This window comes from Homo sapiens, chromosome 18 (assembly GCF_000001405.40).
Source record: "Homo sapiens chromosome 18, GRCh38.p14 Primary Assembly".
In the NCBI taxonomy this organism is placed as follows: Eukaryota; Metazoa; Chordata; class Mammalia; order Primates; family Hominidae; genus Homo; species Homo sapiens.
In genome coordinates this window covers 58,157,853-58,179,172 of record NC_000018.10, presented here as the reverse complement: position 1 = coordinate 58,179,172, position 21,320 = coordinate 58,157,853, and the positions used below count along the sequence as shown (strand labels likewise).

The window sequence follows — 21,320 nt, the reverse complement described above, 5'->3', positions numbered from 1 at the left end:
ACCACCGTGGAAGAAAGATATTTGAAAATTTCTCTTTTGTTTTCCAGATTTGCTAAATAATGTTTAAAATCACCTAACCAAGTTAAAATCCCTGTTCTCAATGAACTCGCACGTGATTCAAGTCAGTGTCAGAGAGAGTGTTTTAATATACAACCAATACTATCATTTTCCTACTAGGAAAAAAAACAAAACTGCGATAAAGCTGTAAGACTAGCCTAGTTTGATTTTTCTACCAGCCACTCCCAAACTTGAAACGCAGTATTTCTTCCACATGTTTCTCTACTTTCCTACCATGAACGCCTAGTTTTAAGCATCTAAAAGTCACAGAAGCTTAAAACAATGATCAATCAGTTCTTCAATAGGAGACACACAATAACATGCCTATAACAATGACGGATAAAAATGCGAACAACCCTTGAAGTGTATTTACTACACATTCCTATGCCAGAAGGAACGTTAGCACACATTCATTAAGAATCCAGGCATATTTTCTATCCCTTGTGTTGATATTATACAGTAGGAATGCCAATCCTTTTAATAATTTACGGAGGAGTTACACATTGCAGATTCCTTATTAAACATTACTTACACTAAGGTCATAAGTCCAACGAATATTCCGTAGCGAAAGTGGGCAATATTTTAATTGCAATACACTCATCTAAATTATGTCTGCATCTGTTTGTATGCATTTAATTCATCATTATTTTTCATGCATTTATTAACACAAAGCAGTGAGAGCGTTTTCTCTAAGGCAAAAACATTTCACAATTGCATTCATTTTTAGACCTTAAAATTTACAGTGGATATCCAAAAGCTTCATACGCTGTATTTTAAGCATGTTACCCTTGAATGGAAAAGAAAATAAATAAAAAGCTACTGCACTATCTAGGAACCCCATTCCCTGGCCCAGAAAGTCAATGCTAGCAGAATTAGTCTGTCATTGACCGACCAGCAGCAATATGAAAGAGTTTAATCTGGAAACCATGACAAAATAACACTGACACTCCCAGTTCTAAATATATATGTTGTAGAAAATCAATGGCTTATAACATCAGAGGTTGGCAGACTGCAGCCCGTGGACCATCAGCTCACACACATGCCCCTTTGTTTATGTATTGCCCAAGGCTGCTTTAGTGCTATGTCAGAGACCATCAGTCCTGCAAAGCCTCAACTACTTAGTATCTGGCTTTTTACAGGAAAATAAATAAAAAAGCTTGTTAGGCCCTGATTTAGATAACTACCTATAGCATGTAGGAAAGGTTTTATTTACCATTTAAGAATTTGCCAGTTCACTTAACTTATAAATAACCTTTAAAATCTTAGCTTCCAGGCTTCTCCCCCAAATAGAATTATTCAATAATTTTATAAAGTCGATGACAATGTTTCTTAGCAAATGAAGTAATACAACATTGGCAATACATATCTGAGAAAGACAACATTCTGGAGTTCCAAAGATGTTTCCCAAATGGATTCAAGATTGTGCGTTTTTAAAAGCATGACTTTTGGGTAGAAGGGACATTGTTACCTTCAATAACACAGATGCATAGGAGGCCCCAAGATCACCAGCCTCACGGCCTCCCCAAAGCTGCACCCACTGAGGATGGGGTGGAGAGCCAGTCCTGTCTACAATGGGGAGAACCATTAAAAAGGTTCAGAGAAACGAGTCCCTTCCTCCTGGGGTGGGGACGCCGGCAGCCACGCTCCAGCATCCTAATGCACACCTCTCCCTACACAGCACCTTCTGGCTGTGTTCCTGAAGGCTTGGTTGGTAGTTCAATTTTTGTTAAATAAATATTTTCCTCATTGTCTTACACATTCAGAACTGCTTTCATTTCTGACTCATCTCAAGTTGGCAACCTTCCCTTCCTCATACTTGAGCTTCTTACACTCTTTCTACCCTTCCTCCCCGCAAGAAAAGGAAAACAGAGGAAGACAGTGAGACAAACAGAATGCACTAAGACAAAGACTCCAGATTCAGGGCACGGGCGTGGGGGCACAGGCAAAGACAGCGGAAGATAAAGGAGAGGAAGGAATGAGGAGGGGCCGGCGGCTCAGGGAGAGGTGCAGGAAGGGGCCAGGGGCTCAGGACACAATGTCAGGCAGGGGATCCAAACTTCACCAGCCCTAGGACTGGCCTCATACTTTTGGCCCTATTGGTGCCTTTGTATCTATGTCAAAATGCGACCCCAGCACTCCTCAGCAGCTTTTTAATTTAATTTTCTAGGCTGCACTCTGACCAGATTAACAAAATTTGTCAAACATCTATGTGTCAGACACCTTCCGCTTCCTAAAAAACACATCAGATTCTCTGCCCTACAGACTCAGTGACCCCAGCATCATTCTAGACTGAAGAAAACGAGGGCAAGAAGTCTTGTAGTTTTCCTTCCACTCTGTCAAAACATTTGGTAAAGCAGAGGTGTCTTTGGTAACAGCAAATATCCATGCATCAGGAGTCAGGGCAACGTGAACAAGGTTCCACAGTAGGGACTCTCACTAATCTCACAACATCAGGGAATGGTACAGAAAAGTGACCTGTCTGGCTGGACACAGTGGTTTGCACCTGTAATTCCAGCACTTTGAGAGGCCAAGGCGGGAGGGTCACTTGAGGTCAGGAGTTTGAGACCCACCTGGGCAACACAGCAAGACAACACCTCTATAAAAATTTTTAAAAATTAGCTGGGCATGGTAGTGTGCCTGTACTCCCAGCTACTGGGGAGGCTGAGGCAGGAGGACTGCTTGAGCTCAGGAGTTTGAGGTTACAGTGAGCTATGATTGCACCCCTGCACTCTAACCTGTGCAACAGAGCAAGACTCCTGTCTCTTTTTAAAAAGGGTGAGGAAGAAAGAGATGAGGGGGGAAATGAAGCAAGGAAGGAAGGAGGAGGAGGAGAGAGAGAGGACGACAGAGTGAATGAGGGAGGCAGGAGAGAGGGACAGGGACAGAGAGGAAGAGGGAGGGAGACAGGGGGAGAGTGAGAGAGAGAAAGAAAGCAGTCTAGTTTGCTCTTTTATTTACCAAAACTGGAGTGGGAGAGAGAAAAAAGCTTATGTGGAAATGTTTGTAAACTGATCATATATTCCCTGCATGCTCACTTAGTGTATACTGAACATGGCACAGTCTTTGCTCAGTGATTCCGGATCATTAGGAAGATCCATTATTGTGGCGATGGCTATATTGCACAGCAAGCCTCCCGCAGGATGGAGATTTGCCAGCTCTGTGCATTTACCCATCTGCCATTTCCAATGCTTCCCTCTGGGAAACCTGGTCGGCTGGGTGGTGTGGAGGCTAGGATTGACATATTTTTAAAGGACGTTGCATGCATTCATATACTTAAAGACTAGGAGGTAAACACAAAAATGTAAATAGTTGTGTGGTTGTTAGGGAGTAAAGAGGTTTTTATCTATATTTGCGGGAGGGAGTTACTATCCTTTAATGTCATTTCGGTTTGGGGGGTGGGAAGGAATACAGCTAGAACAAACAGCCTAAGAGTTAGATCCTCTGGGGCTCTCACAGGAGTAATTGCACAAGCTATTTGGTGCAGGGATTTTAAGACAAACACTTTTTGGCCCAAGGGCCATTAGTGTTGATGTTGTGATTCTCAGCAATGCCCTAGACAGCGGAGGCTGCTCAGCAAGGCCTCCAGAGAGAAATGTAGCTCTGCAAAGAGCCTGCAGATCACAGACAGACTCTGCACAGAGTAAGGTGCTGCTCCTCAATGGGGGAGGAAGAGGAGAAGTCAGTTCTAAATGCTAACAAAGAAACAGTGCAGAGGACAAGTCCAAATGCCGGCCTGTACCTCGAGGGACCTCATGGCCACGTGTCAGCAAGGGAAACCAGCCCCCATGAAAACAACAGGAGGTGTACGGTCCCTAGTGGCCAGAAAGGCGCAGTCCCACCTAATGGGTGTGCCCAGCACACACCTCTAGCCATGCAGCCTTGCACAGATGCAGGCCCAGTGTGGCTAGATTGCCAAGACCTTCCAGAAACCTGGAAATCTCGATTTGTATTATAATATGGGATCTCCCAAACGTTGGCTCAGGATTTGCATTTTTTTGTTTCAGTGCTCCACAGGCCAAATAAACTCATGTGTGGATTCAGTCTGGTCCACAGGGACCAACTGTCTGCAAACTTTGGTCTGACCTCTGATCCAGAAGGGCTTACAGCTGAGCAAAGGTACTTCAATGTATGTTCAGCCTCTTTCAGAAGCTTCTCCATTAGTAAAATAAGGAGATTTACTTTGTACAATGTTTTCAAAGAAGGGCAAAGAAAGAAAAAAACAAAATTTCCAATCCTTTGGAAGTAAAGTAAATCAATATTTAAAATTTGCAGGTATACAGTACCAAAACAGCCCCTCCCCTCGTTACTTGCTGGTCACCTGGGGAAAAAAAATGTTAATTTTTGATAGTGGAGGGATGAGACTGCCCCCACATTTACCCAGGGATCAATTTCAATCACTGATTATGACAGAACCAGTCATTGTGTCCCTCCAGTCGCACGTAGCCTCACCCATTCCTGCCTCAAATTTGATCAAGCCTTTAGTCCAACTTCTAATACACAGTACGTACAAGAAACATGGGGAAAAGAACATGTTCATTCATTGATGATGCCACCAGGACACGATGGAATGTGGTAAGCGAAACAACCTTCCTACAAGTCATTGAAGGGGAGGGACTATTGATAGTGATAGGAAGCAGCCAAACGCCTGGGCAGATAGGGGCGGGTCCCCGGTGAAACCCCACCTTCGAGCCAAAAACAGCCTGAAGGCTGAAAGACTGGACTGCTGGTCCCGGATGAAACCCACGAACCAGAGCGAGAACTTCTGTTCCTGTCTGCCCACCCTTTCCTGATTGATTCTTTCTGAACAATGCCTTTTAATGAATCAAATGTTGCCTTTTCCAATACTACCTGCAGCCTGCCCCTCCCCTATTCTGAGCCCATAAAAAGCCCTGGGCCCAGCCACACGGGAAGGAGAGAAGCACCTGACTGCAGCCCCTCTCCACCGAGAGCTATTCCATTGCTCAGTAAAATTCTACTCTGCCCTCCTCACCCTCAATGTCCAGCATATCCTCATTCTTCTTGGGTGCCATGCAAGAACTCGGGAACCACTGAACACAGGTACAAGCTATAACACAGGTGAGCTAGGGCACCCCAGCATGGTAGAGTGAGACCCAGGTGGGGTGTTGCTGGCTGGGGGTCCCCAGTTTGCAAAGAGACCAAGAGTAAAAAGCTTTTATCACTATTCTAGGTTAAGAGAGTCTTAATAGACCCACCGATTAAATGCAATACAGAATTCTCAATTGAATCCTGGTTTAAACAGTCCAGCTGTAAAAGGCATTTTAAGGTCAGCTGGGGAAGTTCAGATAATGGATCAGGTAATAGAGTCCATTAGGCAATTAGTCTTAATTTTGTGAGAACAGTACTACAGTTATATAGAAATATGTTCTTGTTTTTTAGAGGTTTGGGCTGAAGTATTTAGGAACTAAACGTCATGATGTCTGTAATTCACTTCTGAATACTTCAGGGAAAAAAAGAGATGGAGCAAATACAGCAAAATGCTAACAACTTAAACCTAGGTAAAGGGGACTGAGGTGAGCTGTGTCAAAGAGCTATCCTCACACAGAGTTAGGACCCCATCACTCTCAATCACTAGGCAGCAGAAGGACTTTCTGCCATGTCCCTCCAATACCCTTGAGCCCATGTGTGTTTTAAATTGCAAGTCACCAGCTCTCAAAAGAAAAACTGATAGCAACCCAAGCAGGTTTGATGCCAATGGCTCATCACACACAATAAAGGAGCAACTGTGAATGAATGTCTTGCAACCTTCTTTATGAAAGCATGAGATTCTACAGTTGGTTTGTCTCAGCCAACATTGCTAAGTTTTAAGAAAGCAGCTTTATAGTCTCAAATGCATCCTAGGTAAGCTCAAATGAAGCCACTGATCATAATTAAAGAGAAAAAGGGAGGGGAGTTAGGTTTAAAAAGTTGCATTGAAATGACCCTGTTTAATGACTGCTTTAAGCCTATGACAAAAGGTTAAATGTCTCCAGCTTACTGAAAAAAGAAGAGTTTGAAATTTGAACAGCTATCCTAAGTTTAAAGGAAAAACTTTAAGATCTTACTTAGCAAAATATACCTATTCTAAATCTAGTAATAGTTGATGATACTCCAATTCAAAAGGCTTACTCAGCTACCATCAAATACAATGGCCAGCTCTTTAAATCTGCTAACACAAAAAGGTACCCCTCAAAAAAAGAAATCTCAGGGTTTTCGAGGAACCCTAATTCTCAAACTTTTATCCTCAAGAAGAGATCTATCACTGAGCATAGCATCAGAAGTCACATAAATCTGAACTTAATAGGTCCCACCACTCCCTATACCCTTGTTTGATCTCGGGCTGATGATAACTTCTCAATTTTCTTACCTATCAAATGGAAATCCCCTCTTCACAAGATTTAGGCAGAATCTAATGACATTACATTGGGTTCCAAACACATTGCCAGCCAACCTGTGAGCACTCAAGTAACAGCCTCTAACTAACTTCTGTTAAGAGGTTAGGCCCTGGTTCAATACCTAGCTCTACAACTTACTAAACCTTTCTTGCCTCAGTTTCTTTATCTGCAAAAAGAACAACAGTGCCTGCTACATAGGACTTTGCTGGGAGGACCCAACGAGCTCCCATGTAAACAGTTCAAACCACATCTGGCACATAGCAAGTGCTCAAGAAACAGGAGCTGCTGAAACTCTACCCTCCTTCCTTACCCCCGTGTTAAGAAAGCACGACTCACCTACCCTAACTGCACACTTCACCATGGCCAAACACCAAGGACTTGTCCCTGCCCCACCACAGAGCGTCTAAAAGACTTCCAGAAGAGTCAGTGGTCTGCTAAGCCTGAGGTTCCTGCTGCTGTTTTGGCCTCTGTTTCCTGGACCTGCCTTGGTTCCTGACCCTGTCGGCGGCTGCCTGGTGCCTGCCTTGCCACCTGTACCTCTCCTCTATGGAAGGATGGCCACAGTATTCCATGGTGCCTGAGTCCTCCCTAACCCATCACTCGTGTCCTTGGCTCTCTCCTGACCCCTAAGGTGAGGGTCAGGTGCAGAGCCATGACCTTCTGTGCCCAATCCCAGCTGGGCCTCATGTACCCCCAAGTAGAAGTTTCTGGGACCTACCACAAGAAGAGAGTGTGCTCCTTCTGTACGGTATAAAGTAGTCATTCTGCACAAACATCAGCATCAAATGGAGACTGTTCCTTGCCTGCCATCTCATTGACTCCCCCAGATTCTTTTCTCTGAGCCCACTCTTGAGCTTGCTTCCCTTAACCTCTTCTCTCTATGCTCATTTTTCATCCAAGCCCTAGGCAGGCCTCCTGTGCTGGTCCACAAAGAGCCTTTGTGAGAATGAGAAATAAGCACCTCTCCTAGATGCTTGGGAGAGATGCTTGAAGAGCCAATGGGACCTCCATGACAATGAGAAAAAAGTACCCCTTCCTCCAGGCTGGCCATCAGGTGCCACAGCACACCATATTGTGTTCCACTCAATGAATTCAAGGCAGTTTACCAGGCAACTGTCATGTGCCAAGATTTCTGGACCTGCAAACACCAATAAGACAGGGCTGGAGCCTCTGAGCCTCCCAAGTCCGCTAAGACAAGGGGCCGTAGGAGGAGGGAACTTGTACACCCACTACAGCCCCAGGAGCAGCAGTGTTCTGTCCCCTTGGGCTGGGGTGATGAGGTGGGCAGCAGTGTTCTGTCCTCTTGGGCTGGGGTGATGAGGCGGGCAGCAGTGTCCTGTCCCCTTGGGCTGGGGTGATGAGGCGGGCAGCAGTGTTCTGTCCTCTTGGGCTGGGGTGATGAGGCGGGCAGCAGTGTTCTGTCCTCTTGGGCTGGGGTGATGAGGCGGGCAGCAGTGTTCTGTCCCCTTGGGCTGGGGTGATGAGGCGGGCAGCAGTGTTCTGTCCTCTTGGGCTGGGGTGATGAGGCGGGCAGCAGTGTTCTGTCCTCTTGGGCTGGGGTGATGAGGCGGGCAGCAGTGTTCTGTCCTCTTGGGCTGGGGTGATGAGGCGGGCAGCAGTGTTCTGTCCTCTTGGGCTGGGGTGATGAGGCGGGCAGCAGTGTTCTGTCCCCTTGGGCTGGGGTGATGAGGCGGGCAGCAGTGTTCTGTCCTCTTGGGCTGGGGTGATGAGGCGGGCAGCAGTGTTCTGTCCTCTTGGGCTGGGGTGATGAGGCGGGCAGCAGTGTTCTGTCCTCTTGGGCTGGGGTGATGAGGCGGGCAGCAGTGTTCTGTCCTCTTGGGCTGGGGTGATGAGGCGGGCAGCAGTGTTCTGTCCTCTTGGGCTGGGGTGATGAGGCGGGCAGCAGTGTTCTGTCCTCTTGGGCTGGGGTGATGAGGCGGGCAGCAGTGTTCTGTCCTCTTGGGCTGGGGTGATGAGGCGGGCAGCAGTGTTCTGTCCCCTTGGGCTGGGGTGATGAGGCGGGCAGCAGTGTTCTGTCCCCTTGGGCTGGGGTGATGAGGCGGGCAGCAGTGTTCTGTCCTCTTGGGCTGGGGTGATGAGGCGGGCAGCAGTGTTCTGTCCTCTTGGGCTGGGGTGATGAGGCGGGCAGCAGTGTTCTGTCCTCTTGGGCTGGGGTGATGAGGTGGGCAGCAGTGTTCTGTCCTCTTGGGCTGGGGTGATGAGGCGGGCAGCAGTGTTCTGTCCTCTTGGGCTGGGGTGATGAGGCGGGCAGCAGTGTTCTGTCCTCTTGGGCTGGGGTGATGAGGCGGGCAGCAGTGTTCTGTCCTCTTGGGCTGGGGTGATGAGGCGGGCAGCAGTGTTCTGTCCTCTTGGGCTGGGGTGATGAGGCGGGCAGCAGTGTTCTGTCCTCTTGGGCTGGGGTGATGAGGCGGGCAGGGGCCTCAGCAGGAGTGTTGCCACCCAAACTGGGCCCTGACAGATGAGAGGGCAGCTGCCAGAAAGGATGTGAGCAGATGCCAGGCAGAGGGGAAAACACAGGCAAAGGCAAAAGGCAGCAACTTCATGGCATATTTAGTGACTGTGAGTTTCCAGTGAAGGGGTGGGAAAGGGAGGGAAGGAGAGAGGGAGGAAGAACGGGCTCACTTCATGCAATCTGTTGGTAAATACTTCCTGAGGACCTGTTAGGTGCTATGTGCTATAATAGGTCGTGGAAAATAAAAATAAATAAATAAAATAGAATCCTAGTCATCAGAGGAGAAAAATCTAATTTCAGGAGAAAGAAACAATTCTAAGCATAAAACAACAAGTCAACCTCACTCACAGAACTATGCACAGCACTTCCCAGGGGTCATGGGCACCCCAGAGACAGGGAGAGGTCTGCTGGGGGACAGAGCAGCAGCCTGTGTGGCGGAGGAGATGAGGACCCAGCTGGTGAACATAGGATGGGCCACTGGAGGAGTCACCAGATCAGGGTGAGGTTAGGGCAGAGTACGTCCTTGGGAAAGGGGACAGCAGAAACGGGACACAGGCACACAAGGGTGAGCTGTGGCCGCCCCACGTGGGCGTTTTGAGCAGGGTTTTACTTCTCTTTTGATGTCTTAGTGGCATTTTATGTGAGGCCTGCTTTTTTAAAAGGTGCTTTTTATTTTTTTCTTTTACTTAGCATTTTTTTTAAGCTGTTTTGGGGAAAAAAAATCACATTCCATTTTTTTTTCCCCATGATATGGATAATAAAGGCTGGATGTCTCTGACCTAGGGTGACTGCAGTCTCAATTTACATCTTATGTCCGGACGTCCCATTCAATGTCGCATTCATTCCAGACAAAAGCGTCCCAGTTTAGATGACAGATTATATGACTGCCCTTTTTTGTCCTCAAGGTATGATCCAAAGGGAAGCATCTTTCTCTGCCATTGCTGTTTCCCACGCGGGCCAACTGCTCAGATGTTCAAGTGGAGTCGCGGCTCGGTTATCCAATCTGCTCCAAACAAAGCTCCTTTAATAAAGTGAGACTTGGCTGGAAGGAGCTGAAAATGATCTTGGATCCTAAGTACTGGACTGGGGCCGAGACGGCCGAAAAGGACAAGGGCATTTCAGGCACAGGCCTCTCAAGGGGGAAGGGGCCACCTCCAGCTAGGAGAGAGGCCCCACACCAAGGGCCCCAGAAACCCCCGGCCTCTGAGCTGGAGCTGTAGGCAGCTTCCATCACCACCTCGGAAGGGCAAGGAGAGATGACGTGCTCCACTCCTCCCACCGTCACCCGCCCCTGACCATCCTGCATCCCCAAGCATCACATTCTGCCCCGCAACCACCGACCCCTTCCCAACCTCAGGCCAAGTGGCCCAGGGAACCTCCCTTGGAAACAAAGGAGTTGGAGTCCCAGAGATGCAAATCCCTGATTTTAAAAACATCATTGTCTACAGGATTTCTACCACTTTAAAGGCTCTGAAATGCCTCTCATGAAAATGTTCTTCCTCTTTCACCCATTATCCTGTCTACAGCAAGGGCTCCAATGCCTACCCGGCCTTCTTGCTGCCAAGGGAGAATGAGGTGTCTGATCAGGCACAGAGGTGCGGGGAATACTCAGGGAAGAGACTTGGAGAAAAGGCATGTCAGTGGCCCAGGGCTCTGAAGGAGACGGTGGCTGCCAGAGAGGACACTACCAAACCTCTGCCCGGTGACTACTACCTTAAAACACGACAGAGCTGCTGCCGACAGAAGTCACTTTGCGGTTCTTCCCCACATGCCAGTTACAAAGAAACTGTTATCCTTGTTGTACACTAATACACAGTGGCATGAGTGGTTTTAAGGGATTTGCCCAAGATAGCATGGAGGGAGAATGCAGGTCATCTGGCAAAATTTTAAGGCAATAAGCAGTGCCACTCCAGAGTGAGACACCAAGATGGCATTAACCCACACTGCCACCTCACACTTGCATCTCAGACCCACTGGCAAATGTGTCCCTGAAGAACTACAGCACTTCAGAGGAGGGAGGAAAGCAGGAATGTGTGCGCCTACTTATCAATCTAGGAAAATGAAGACCAGAAGCAGGATTCAGAGTTTCTGATGCATTTTCTGGCACTTGGTCCACTTGGCCACAATACGATTTATCTTTCTAATTAATATCACGAATATTCCTTTCCACCATGTCCCTTAGAAATGACCCTGCCTGTTATTATCTAAACAGTAAAAATTCAAGGTACGAATTTGCTCTTCTAAGATTTGGAGCCTAATTCCACTACAAATTCAACCTTAAATCTACTTAACTGGCTTAGAAATACAATGTGAATCAATTTTTTTTTTTAATGGGAGGGTTTGGATAAAACAAAATAAAAACCCAATCAAGCTTAAAAAGAAATCACCAAAATTTTCTAAATCCAACTTGCTCCTTCAGCACTACAGATTTCATTGGAAAGAGTGAGAATACATATTTTTAACCTAAGGGCACAATCCACTACCGGTTGGCATGCAAATGTTTACATTTTTAAAAGATAATTTTTGTTTTTTTTTCCCTTGATGCTCTATATGTTAAGTAGTAGGAGAAAGATATTAAAAAGATGTCTGTCCCCAGTAAATTTCTAATCTAGCAATCGAGGCAAGTGAAAGAAATACTAGGAAACCACCAGGTAATGCATCTGCAAAAGCTAAAATGACATTGCACCTACTGTGGCAGCTAAGAGGGATTAGGAGAGGAAAGACACACGCTTTGATATAGGAATATCAAATTTTCTTTCTTGGAATTTTCTTGACAGGCTTCATGGAAAGGCAGGGCATAAGGTGGGCTTTGGTAGAGAGCAAATTTGTGAGTTTCAGGAAACAGTATTTCAGCTGGGTAACAAGAGCCCAGACTCATGGAAATGGCTGAAAGTGTTGCTCTGAAAGGGAAGAGAAGGGAAGCAGGGATCCTTCTGCCCATGCCTAGAGACCTGGCTTATCCTTGCATGAGTGCAGGCACATGGTGAACCACTCAGTGTGACTTCACGGTCAAGCAAGAGAGTGCCTTCAGGTGGGATTTGCTTCACTCTGACATTACCAGCAGTACAGGCTGATGTCAGTGTCCCTGTGCATAAGGTTCCTTGTGACACCATTCAGAGTCCTAAGCCTCCATTAGTCACTTGAGGCACTTCTAAGTACAACAGTTTTTTAAAAGATTTCACTGACATTTGCAACAATTTTTTTCTAATTTCTTTTGGTGCCATTTTAGTAACTTAACAATTGCTTTAATAGACAAAACTCAATCATGCATGATCAATCACAGGTGAGAAAATAGAGGCGTGCTTACTAATGGCAGCAAAAGGCTTCTGTGGGGGTGTGCGGGATGGAACAGCTAGCTAGCTAGAAAGGGGCTTCTTTATAGAGGGACTCCAGTGTCAGGCAGGGGCACTGAAATCTAGGGGTCACCAAGGGCCACAGCACAGGGGACTGAGGGAGAATCCAGTGGCTGGAACTCTCCTCACCAGTCACCTGCCTTCATTGTTAAACCTCACAGTATTTTCAGGCCACCATGCCACAAAGGAAAATGTACTGGGTAGAGGCAGGAGGAGTGTTCCTGTCACTCCTCAAACATCACTGGCCCACGTGACCTGCACGGGTAGTTTAACCTTTCTGGATTCAAGCTTTGTCAACCATAAAATGGAAAAGTTGGACTAGAACATCACTCATGTCCATTCCAGGTTTAAAGTTCAAAAGATCTTTGGTCTCCAAAATCTGGCTAAATTCTAGTGCCAGGTGGCTCTACGGCTACCCTCACCCTGCTCCCAGTCCAATAACTTCATGCAACACATTGCTGACAGCCAATAGGAACAAAAGGGCTGATTTAAAGATACAGGAATATCCAAGTGCAATACTGAAAATAAAAAAGCTGAAACACACAGAAAGATCTGGCTGCTTCCCTGCTGGTACTTCTAGAAATGCCACAGAAATCACCACATTCGCCCCAAATCACCAAATCTCTTAATTCAGATTATACATGTCCAGAATATCCAGTTCTCCTAGAAACAAAATGACACTTTTATGTTTCCCTAAGTTTGAAATATTTTTGAAGTATTAAAATAAGCAGAGCCATAGTCCCACACTGTATTTTTCTACTGAGAATACAACACCAGAAGCTAATCTCATGAAATTAGCCCATGTGAAGAACAGGCTGTTAACTACTGTTGTGATGGTAAGTCCAGAAGCCCTGTGCAAAATGTGCTCCTGGAACCAGCTGGGCCAGCATCACTTCCTAAATCAGAATCCCTGCAGGTGGGGCCCAGCCAGCTTTGTCTTAAGAAGTCCTCCAGGTGATTCTGATGCGTGCCTGAATTTGAAAACTGCTTGTCAATTTTTCAGAAGTCCACAGAAATAAAAACAAAGCCAACATACCTGGCTCCAAAGATGTCCTTTTTGGCGAGATCAATTCCAGAAACAACTTTTACTCTGAGAATACGGGACTCTCCCTGTGAGAAGGAGAACAAAAAAAGAGGTTAAAAACCTGATCTTCAATCAATCACTCTCTCATCCAATATTAAAGTAATTGATTTCTACTCAGTCCAGTATTGGGATACAGAACAAATCAATTCGAGCATAAGCAATTCTTCCTTACACTGAAGTTCAAAAAGCAATATTCCAGCTCTAAAAGTCTGTGACTCTAGAAACTTAGAACATCCAAGTTAATTAAGCACAAGTTTAATTCAAAGTAAGTCATTAAGATCAATTACTCCTGCCATTTAAAGTTAGCTTTTCCAGCTGTACCAAGAACACAATCATACACAAAAAACCATCTAGATAAATGTCCAAGTGCCACAAGTTTGCATAAATATAACAAATAATTCCTCCTTTGAAGTTGACATATTTGTATGTGACCTGCAATAGAAAAGAATTTAATGTGGTAAAACATTTCAAAATTATAGTGCTTTTAAAATGTTGGCATCAACAAGCAAAAATAATTCCTTAGTTCCAGTAAAAAGAAATAAAAACCATTCTAAATGGAAACCACCCCAAAGTGTCTTGGAAATCAATCAACTGTTCATTTGTTCATTTATTCATCATTTCTTCATTCATTCCAATATTTCCTAAGAAGCTCTTATGCCCGGGGCCTTGAAATACCGACATGAATATGCTCCAGGCTCTATTGAAGGCAACAAGCAGCCCAGCAGTACAGGACCCTATGACAGCTTAGAGAACTAGATAAGGGCTACGACATTTAGGACAGGTGAGATGGCTTAGGAGAAGGTGGTAGGCAGAAGTCCAGGATAACTCAGGTTTCCAGTTTGGGTCATGAACTGTCAACATAAATTGAAATAGAGCACTGTGTCCAAGGTGTCTATGAAGCAATTGGATGGAAAACATGTATCACTAAATGGGGAGAAACGTCTGGTCTGACTTAGAGACTCAGCAGTTATCAATGTAGAGCCTGCAGTTATAACCAAGGTCTGCAGAAACCTAGCCTAAGAGTAAGAATAAAAAATGGCCCAGGGGCCAGGCATGGTGGCTTATGCCTGTAATCCCAGCACTTTGGGAGGCCGAGGCAGGCGGATCACGAGGACAGGAGTTCGAGACCAGCCTGGCCAACATGGTGAAACCCTGTCTCTACTAAAAATACAAAATTTAGCCAGACATGGTGGCATGTGCCTGTAATCCCAGCTACTCAGGAGGCTGAGGCAGGAGAATTGCTGAACCTGGGAGGTGGGGCTTTCAGTGAGCCAAGATCACACCACTGCACTCCAGCCTGGGTGACAGTACAGGCTAATGTCAGTGTCCCTGTGCATAAGGTTCCTTGCGACACCACTCAGAGTCCTAAGCCTCCATTAGTCACTTGAGGCACTTCTAAAGTACAACAGTTTTTTAAAAGATTTCACTGACATTTGCAACAATTTTTTTCTAATTTCTTTTGGTGCCATTTTAGTAACTTATCAATTGCTTTAATAGACAAAACTCAATCATGCATGATCAATCACAGGTGAGAAAATAGAGGCGTGCTTACTAATGGCAGCAAAAGGCTTCTGTGGGGGTGTGCGGGATGGAACAGCTAGCTAGCTAGAAAGGGGCTTCTTTACAGAGGGACTCCAGTGTCAGGCAGGGGCACTGAAATCTAGGGGTCACCAAGGGCCACAGCACAGGGGACTGAGGGAGAATCCAGTGGCTGGAACTCTCCTCACCAGTCACCTGCCTTCATTGTTTTTGAGACTCGGTCTCAAAAAAAAAAAAAAGGCTCAGGATGGAGTCCCCAAGAACACAATGGCTGACGGCGCAAGAAAGTAGTAATATGAAATTCATTTACCCAACATGTTTAGTCAAGACCTAGGTGAGGGCAAGAAAACCTTGATGATTATAGAATGTCGAAGAGAACAATGGCAGGGCAAAAATAAAACATGGAGGGTACAGGATGGTGGATCTTTGTCAATTAGCTGCATAGATCAAACATACATTCATGCAATGGACACACATCCTTGAGATACTTCACATTCCAGGAGTCTTCCATCCACCCAACCGTCCATCCAACCACGTATCCCCAAAACAAGACTGCCCATGTGGCAAGCACAGTGTCCTCATAATACGGTAAAGAACATGAATATGGTAAAGAAGATGTTCGCAACTCGTTTGTGCCAATGTTCTTTCAAACATGGCCTACTTTCAAGGTTGGCAGGACTGAATGTGTTTGCCAGTCTTCATGAAAGGATTAAGGGATGTAAAGTAACACCAGGCAAGTCAGGGATAACTAAGACAATACCCTACTATAGCAAAGGGCGTCCCAAAGTGCTTACAGAAGCATCAGGGGTTAGCTGCTCTTCCCTGTTCCCTGAAGCGCTGCAGGGACTGCTCTGCCCATCTCTGGAACACTCACAGGCTGGGAGTCAGGGTTCTTTCTTTAGCACAGGATGTTATGTAGGCCAAGGCTCTTTTCTGGTTCTCACAACAAGTTGTACCCTACTGCTAATCATTTGATGCCTCCATGGCCTGCTCAGCTCAAATGATGTCCCTGCTAGAGTATTTTTTACACATGCTTCAAAACCTGAAGTACCTATAGTACCACTTACTCGGGGAGGTGCTGAAGCAGGAGGATCACTTGAGTCCAGGAGCTCAAGGCTGCAGTGCGCTACGATCAAGCCTGTGGAAAGCTACTGCACTCTAGCCTGGGCAACATAGCAACACCCCATTTCTTTTTTTTTTTTCTTTTTTTTGAGACAGAGTCTTACTCTATCACCCAAGGTGGAGTGCAGTGGCGGGATCTCAGCTCACTGCAACCTCTGCCTCCCAGGTTCAAGTGATTCTTCTGCGTCAGCCTCCCAAGTAGCTGAGATTACAGGTGTGTGCCACCATGCCCAGCTAATTTTTGAATTTTTAGTAGAGATGGGGTTTCACCATGTTGCCCAAGCTGGTCTTGAACTCCTGACCTCAGGTGATACACCAGCCTCAGTCTCCCAAAGTGCTGGGATTACAGGCGTGAGCCACTGCGCCCGGCTGCAACACCCCATTTCTAAAAAATTTTAATGCATAGAGAACCTGTAATGACATTTCTTTATTCCACAAGTATTTACTGAGTACCCATCACGTGCCAGACACGTTATCTGGAGATAGAGATGTAAACAAGACAGAGTTCCTGCCTCAAGCAACCCACCATCTAGTAGGCGGAAGACAGACTATAAATACATAATGCAAGATAATTTCTGATGGTGGCAAGTGCTCCAAAGACAATATGACAGTTAAATAAAGCAACTGAGTAGAGGGAGAGGGAAAAAGCAACTGGGGAGAGGAACATTTATGGCTGAGAGATCAGGAAAGGCTTCTTTGGCGAAAAGACACTGGAGCTGAAGCCTGAAGGAAGAAGGCTGAGTGGTGCGGCAGGGCTGGGAGTTGCAGGAAGAGCTGACAGCAAGCCCCGTTTGATGGGGGGAAGCTGGTGAAGGATGGCAGAGTCCATGCAGGGCACCGTGGGACCTGATGGGGTCAAGGACCACAGAGGCCAGCTTCAGGAGAGGGTGAACATTATCCCGACCACTGGGGGAGAAGCACTGTAAAGTTTTAAGCAGGCGAGTGATAAAATGTAGCTTCAGTCTTTGAAAGAACCACTGTGGCTGCTGTGAGGGAACAGGGCAGAAGGAGGGAGAACAATTGGAGAGAGATTCTGGCAAGAACTTTTAATAAGATAGAGATGGAGAGGTGAGCAGATCCAGCATATAAAAATGTGTCTGAAATAAGCTTTTTTTAAGAAAAGTTTCAAAATGGTTTATAAAATTGAGTTACAAACATGCTAGCTATTCCACAGAAAAGTGTCCCTTTTCTACCCGGACATGCAACTTGACTACATTTCCCAGTCTTCCTTGTAGTTAGGTGCAGTCATATGACAAAGTTCTGGCCAATGGAATGTGGCCAAAAGGTATGAGGCCTCTTCAAAACTGGCCCCATAAGCCCCTCCCACTCAGCAGCCTTCATTCTCATCCATGTCTCTCCGTGAAATGGGGAAGATCCTGGAGATAAAGAAGGGAAAATCATACGAAGGGAGTAGAGCCAAGCACCCCCCACCTCCTGACCCTCCCCAGAAATGAACTGGAGATGAGACTTTTTCTGTTTATTCCCATCCAAAACCAAAAGTTGTTATAGCAGTCTACCCTCCAGTACAATGTAATCTCATTTTTAAAAAAATGTCAATGATATAGCTGCATAGAAAAAGACCTGGAAAGGTTGATGTTAGTAGTAATTACCTCTGCAAAATGAATCATTTCTTTGGACTGACTTACATTTTTTTCCTTTTGAAGCATTAAATATTTTGGTTTAGAAACCAGACTTTTGTTAAAAAAAAAAAAAAAAAGAAAAAGAAAAAAACACGGAAATATTAAGGAAAGCAAAAGAAAAATTTTAACTTCACCGTTAACGACACCATCCAGGCTTGATTTTGTCATAAGAAAAACAAACCTGCCGGGTACGGTGGCTCATGCCTGTAATCCCAGCACTTTGGGAGGCCAAGATGGGTGGATCACTTGAGGTCAGGAGTTCAAGACCAGCCTGACCAACATGGTGAAAACCCTGTCTCTACTAAAAATATAAAACTAGCTGGACGTGCTGATGCATGCCAGTAGTCCCAGCTACTCAGGAGGCTGAGGCAGGAGAATGGAGGCAGGAGAATCGCTTGAACCCAGGAGGCGGAGGTTGCAGTGAGCCGGGATCGCACCATTGCACTCCAGCCTGGGCGACAGAGTGAGACCCTGTCTCAAAGAAAAAAAAAAGAAAGAAAGAAAAACAACCCTATGAGTTATTTTTTAGGTGACTCACAAAGGTACAGAGCTGCAAATACGGAAGACGTGAAGGGGTTCTCTTATGTAACATGTAGGCAACAGCTGGGAGGTGACCTTTACTGAGCAATTACTGTTTACAAGCACCTGTTGCAGGAAATTTTACTCCTCTCTGAAGCATTACTCTATAAAAATAGTTTACACATGCATTTTAGAGACACAGCAAAAATGTCTTATCTTTGTTTCCTCAAAATGACAAGCTTAAACACAGATAAGCAACCATCGTCATTCTTTTAGGAAGCACATGACAAGGTGTGTAACCAAATTATCAGATGCAGTGGCCCCAGGCTGAGCCACTGTACTTTCTGAAGCATTTTATTACTTTCATAAAATCTATGTGTGATATTTTGAACCCTGTTTATGACTCCAGTAGAATTAAATATTTAGCTAAGGTGGCTTTGCTTAGACAATGAAAATATTATTCATAGATTGGCTGTACAATGCAGAGAAGAAACATCAGAGTAGAAACTAGGCTGAAGAGAAGTTTCAGCATCTCTTCCTGTTATTAATCTATTGTTCTGCATTGTTATTGTGTAACGGGGTGATTCTATAAGCTTTACATATGTTTTTCTTTTACACTGAATTTTGTACTTCTTCATCAAGACATAAAACAAGATAAGGTGCCCGAGCCATAAGTGACAGCAGCACACTAATAGTGTCCAAACTGAGAAACAGGTGGTAATCTGAAGGTTCAGTTGCGAGAGCGTCATCTGGAAATCCAGCAGCCCTACTCATATAAACTGTGCATAAGCAGTTACTAGAGTCCCATAGCCACCCACAAAGTCTATAAAATACATAATCCATCAACAGTGTTCTTGTAGTAAAATAAATTTCAAGTTCCAACTCAAAACTCAAGATACTGGAATTTACCATTTCTCCTATGACTTTGTCTTAAGGAGGTAACTTGTTATCCTTTATCCTTATTTTCCACAATGGCAGGTACTCTCCTAAAAAGATGGTATCTGAGCTGGGAAATAGTGTTCTTCCTGCACAGGGAGCCACTGTGACCCCAGGATCACGTACACCAGCTGTCCAAGCGGACAATAAGTTCTAAGTCAGGGACTTCCACTGTTTTGTCACTCTTACCTAAATTAATTCATGTATTTACCTTCCATATTCTAAAGTACTTTTCTAGTTCTAGCTATTACCCATCACATTTGCAGGCTTAGGGTAAACACTCTCTGCATTAAAACAGATGACCAACGTTTTTTGGACCACATAAATATGTAAGTTACGTATACATTACTTAACTTTAGTTGCTTTAAAAAATAACTAAGCCAGCATATGGACCATGACCATTGTGTGCCTGCTACACAGCAGCCACAGTCACTCTTTCCATTTCTACCTGCTCTTGCCCCAGTCCTGAGACAGGATCCTATTTCATGCATTTTTAAGACTACTCTTTTTAGAGCAGTTTTAGGGTCACAGCAAAATTGAGCAGAAGGCACGGAGATTTCCTACGTACCCCCTACCGCGACACACTCACAGCCTCCCCCATGATCAACATCCTGCTCCAGAGTAGTATCCCTGTTACAATTCACACATCGAAATCACCCGAAGCCCATCGTTTACCTTAGGGCTCACTCTTGGTGTTGTACACTCCTTGAGTTTGGACAAATGTATAATGACATGTATCCCCCATTATAGTATCATACAGAGCATTTCCACTGTCCTAAAAATCCTCGGTGCTCTGCCTACTCATCCCTCCCCTGCCTGCATTTTTTAAAAAATCTCACACACTGTCCTATTGCGTCCCCACCCCACACACCTTCCTGTCACTTCCAACTCTTGCCAGGTTGAATCCTCTTGACTTTCTCCCTCCCCACACCAACGCCTTCCCGCTACACCTTTCCCTCTCTTAATGTTGGGTCCCACAACCTTATATTGCTGCCACCCCCTCCTAAAATCCCTCTGAGTTCTCCACATTGACCATCTAATTATACACTCAACAAAAATGCAGAATGATACTATGTTCAATGCATTATGCTAGCAAAAAGGAGGGCCACAAAACTGAACCAGACACATTCTCTCTCTCTCTCAGGAGCTTACAGTCAATGGCAGAGGCAAGGTGTGTGCACAGTTGCCTCTTACACAGCGGTGGAACAGAGGCGTAAGATGTGAGTGGTGAGAACAAAGACCCAGGGTGGAAATGAAAGCAGCCCACCAGGACTGCAAGTCCAGTTCAAACCCAGATGACACCGACAGAGGCAAACAGCCCTAACTCAACGGACTACTCACCGTCATCTCTGATCACCACTGGCAGCCCAACACATAACACGTGGTCAAGTTTCAATTCTACAATGCTGTCAACAAGCAGACACCCTAAGGATATGAGTTTCTGAAAAGACTGTGGGATTCTGTGCAACCTAAATCTCTCAACTTCTACTGGGTAATGGCTGCTATTATGCCAAGTAGAAAAAGGGTTAACAAATGGGAAAAAATAAAGGGATAGACTTCTAGAGCAGAACCCTAATTTAAATGCTCAAGGTGACTCTACCTTCAAAAAATGATGCTGTGTGGTTGTGAAACAGGTCCACAAATTCTCGATATTTCTTTCTTCATGAGGTGGGTAATTTCCCATGGGTATCTGATTTAGTGACTCCTTTCTAATAGAATATGGAAGAGGTGACAGTGTGTGACTTTGGAGATTAGGTCACAAAGACATTAGGCTTCCACCTCTCTTTTGGATCATTCCCTCTGGGGAAAGCCAGCTGTTGCTATGATGTGCAGACACTCAGTCAGCCCCAAGGAGCAATCTCTGCGATAAGGAACTGAGGCCTCTTGCCTCCAGCCATGTGAGTGACTCATTTTAGAAATGGGTCCTTCTGTTCCAGTCAAGCCTTCAGATGACAGCAGCCTTGGCTGACATCCTCACTCAGGATCATAAGAGACCCTTGCCTGCTACATACCAGTCACTGTGGAAAGGCACATGTCAGAACCACCCAGTTAAGCCACTTTTGATTTACTGACCCACAGAAACTGTGAGATAATAAATATCTGTTGCTTTATAAGCTGCTAACTCTAAAACTAATTTGTTATGTAGCAATAGATAACTAACATACATTGTGAAAAACCCAATGCAATAATTACAGTCTCATTTAT

General features: G+C 45.2%; 1 protein-coding gene across 35 annotated transcripts in view, besides 1 other annotated feature; it reads right to left on the bottom strand.

Moving 5' to 3' along the window:
* Nucleotides 1-21,320, bottom strand: part of NEDD4L (NEDD4 like E3 ubiquitin protein ligase) — a 357,315-nt gene that overhangs the window by 222,368 nt on the left and 113,627 nt on the right. For all 35 annotated transcript variants that reach the window (XM_006722426.5, XM_047437406.1, XM_047437407.1 and 32 more), the window contains one exon: nucleotides 13,312-13,385. In XM_006722426.5, the coding sequence (XP_006722489.1) occupies nucleotides 13,312-13,385 (74 nt within the window). Of the gene's footprint in view, nucleotides 1-13,311; nucleotides 13,386-21,320 lie in introns of those variants that run through there.
* Nucleotides 7,533-8,344: an enhancer, noted in NCBI's record as "H3K27ac-H3K4me1 hESC enhancer chr18:55838061-55838872 (GRCh37/hg19 assembly coordinates)". NCBI's record gives its function as "activates a minimal SCP1, AML or CMV promoter by ChIP-STARR-seq in primed H9 embryonic stem cells {active_cell/tissue: H9 hESC(primed)}" and the evidence as "EXISTENCE:reporter gene assay evidence [ECO:0000049][PMID:30033119]".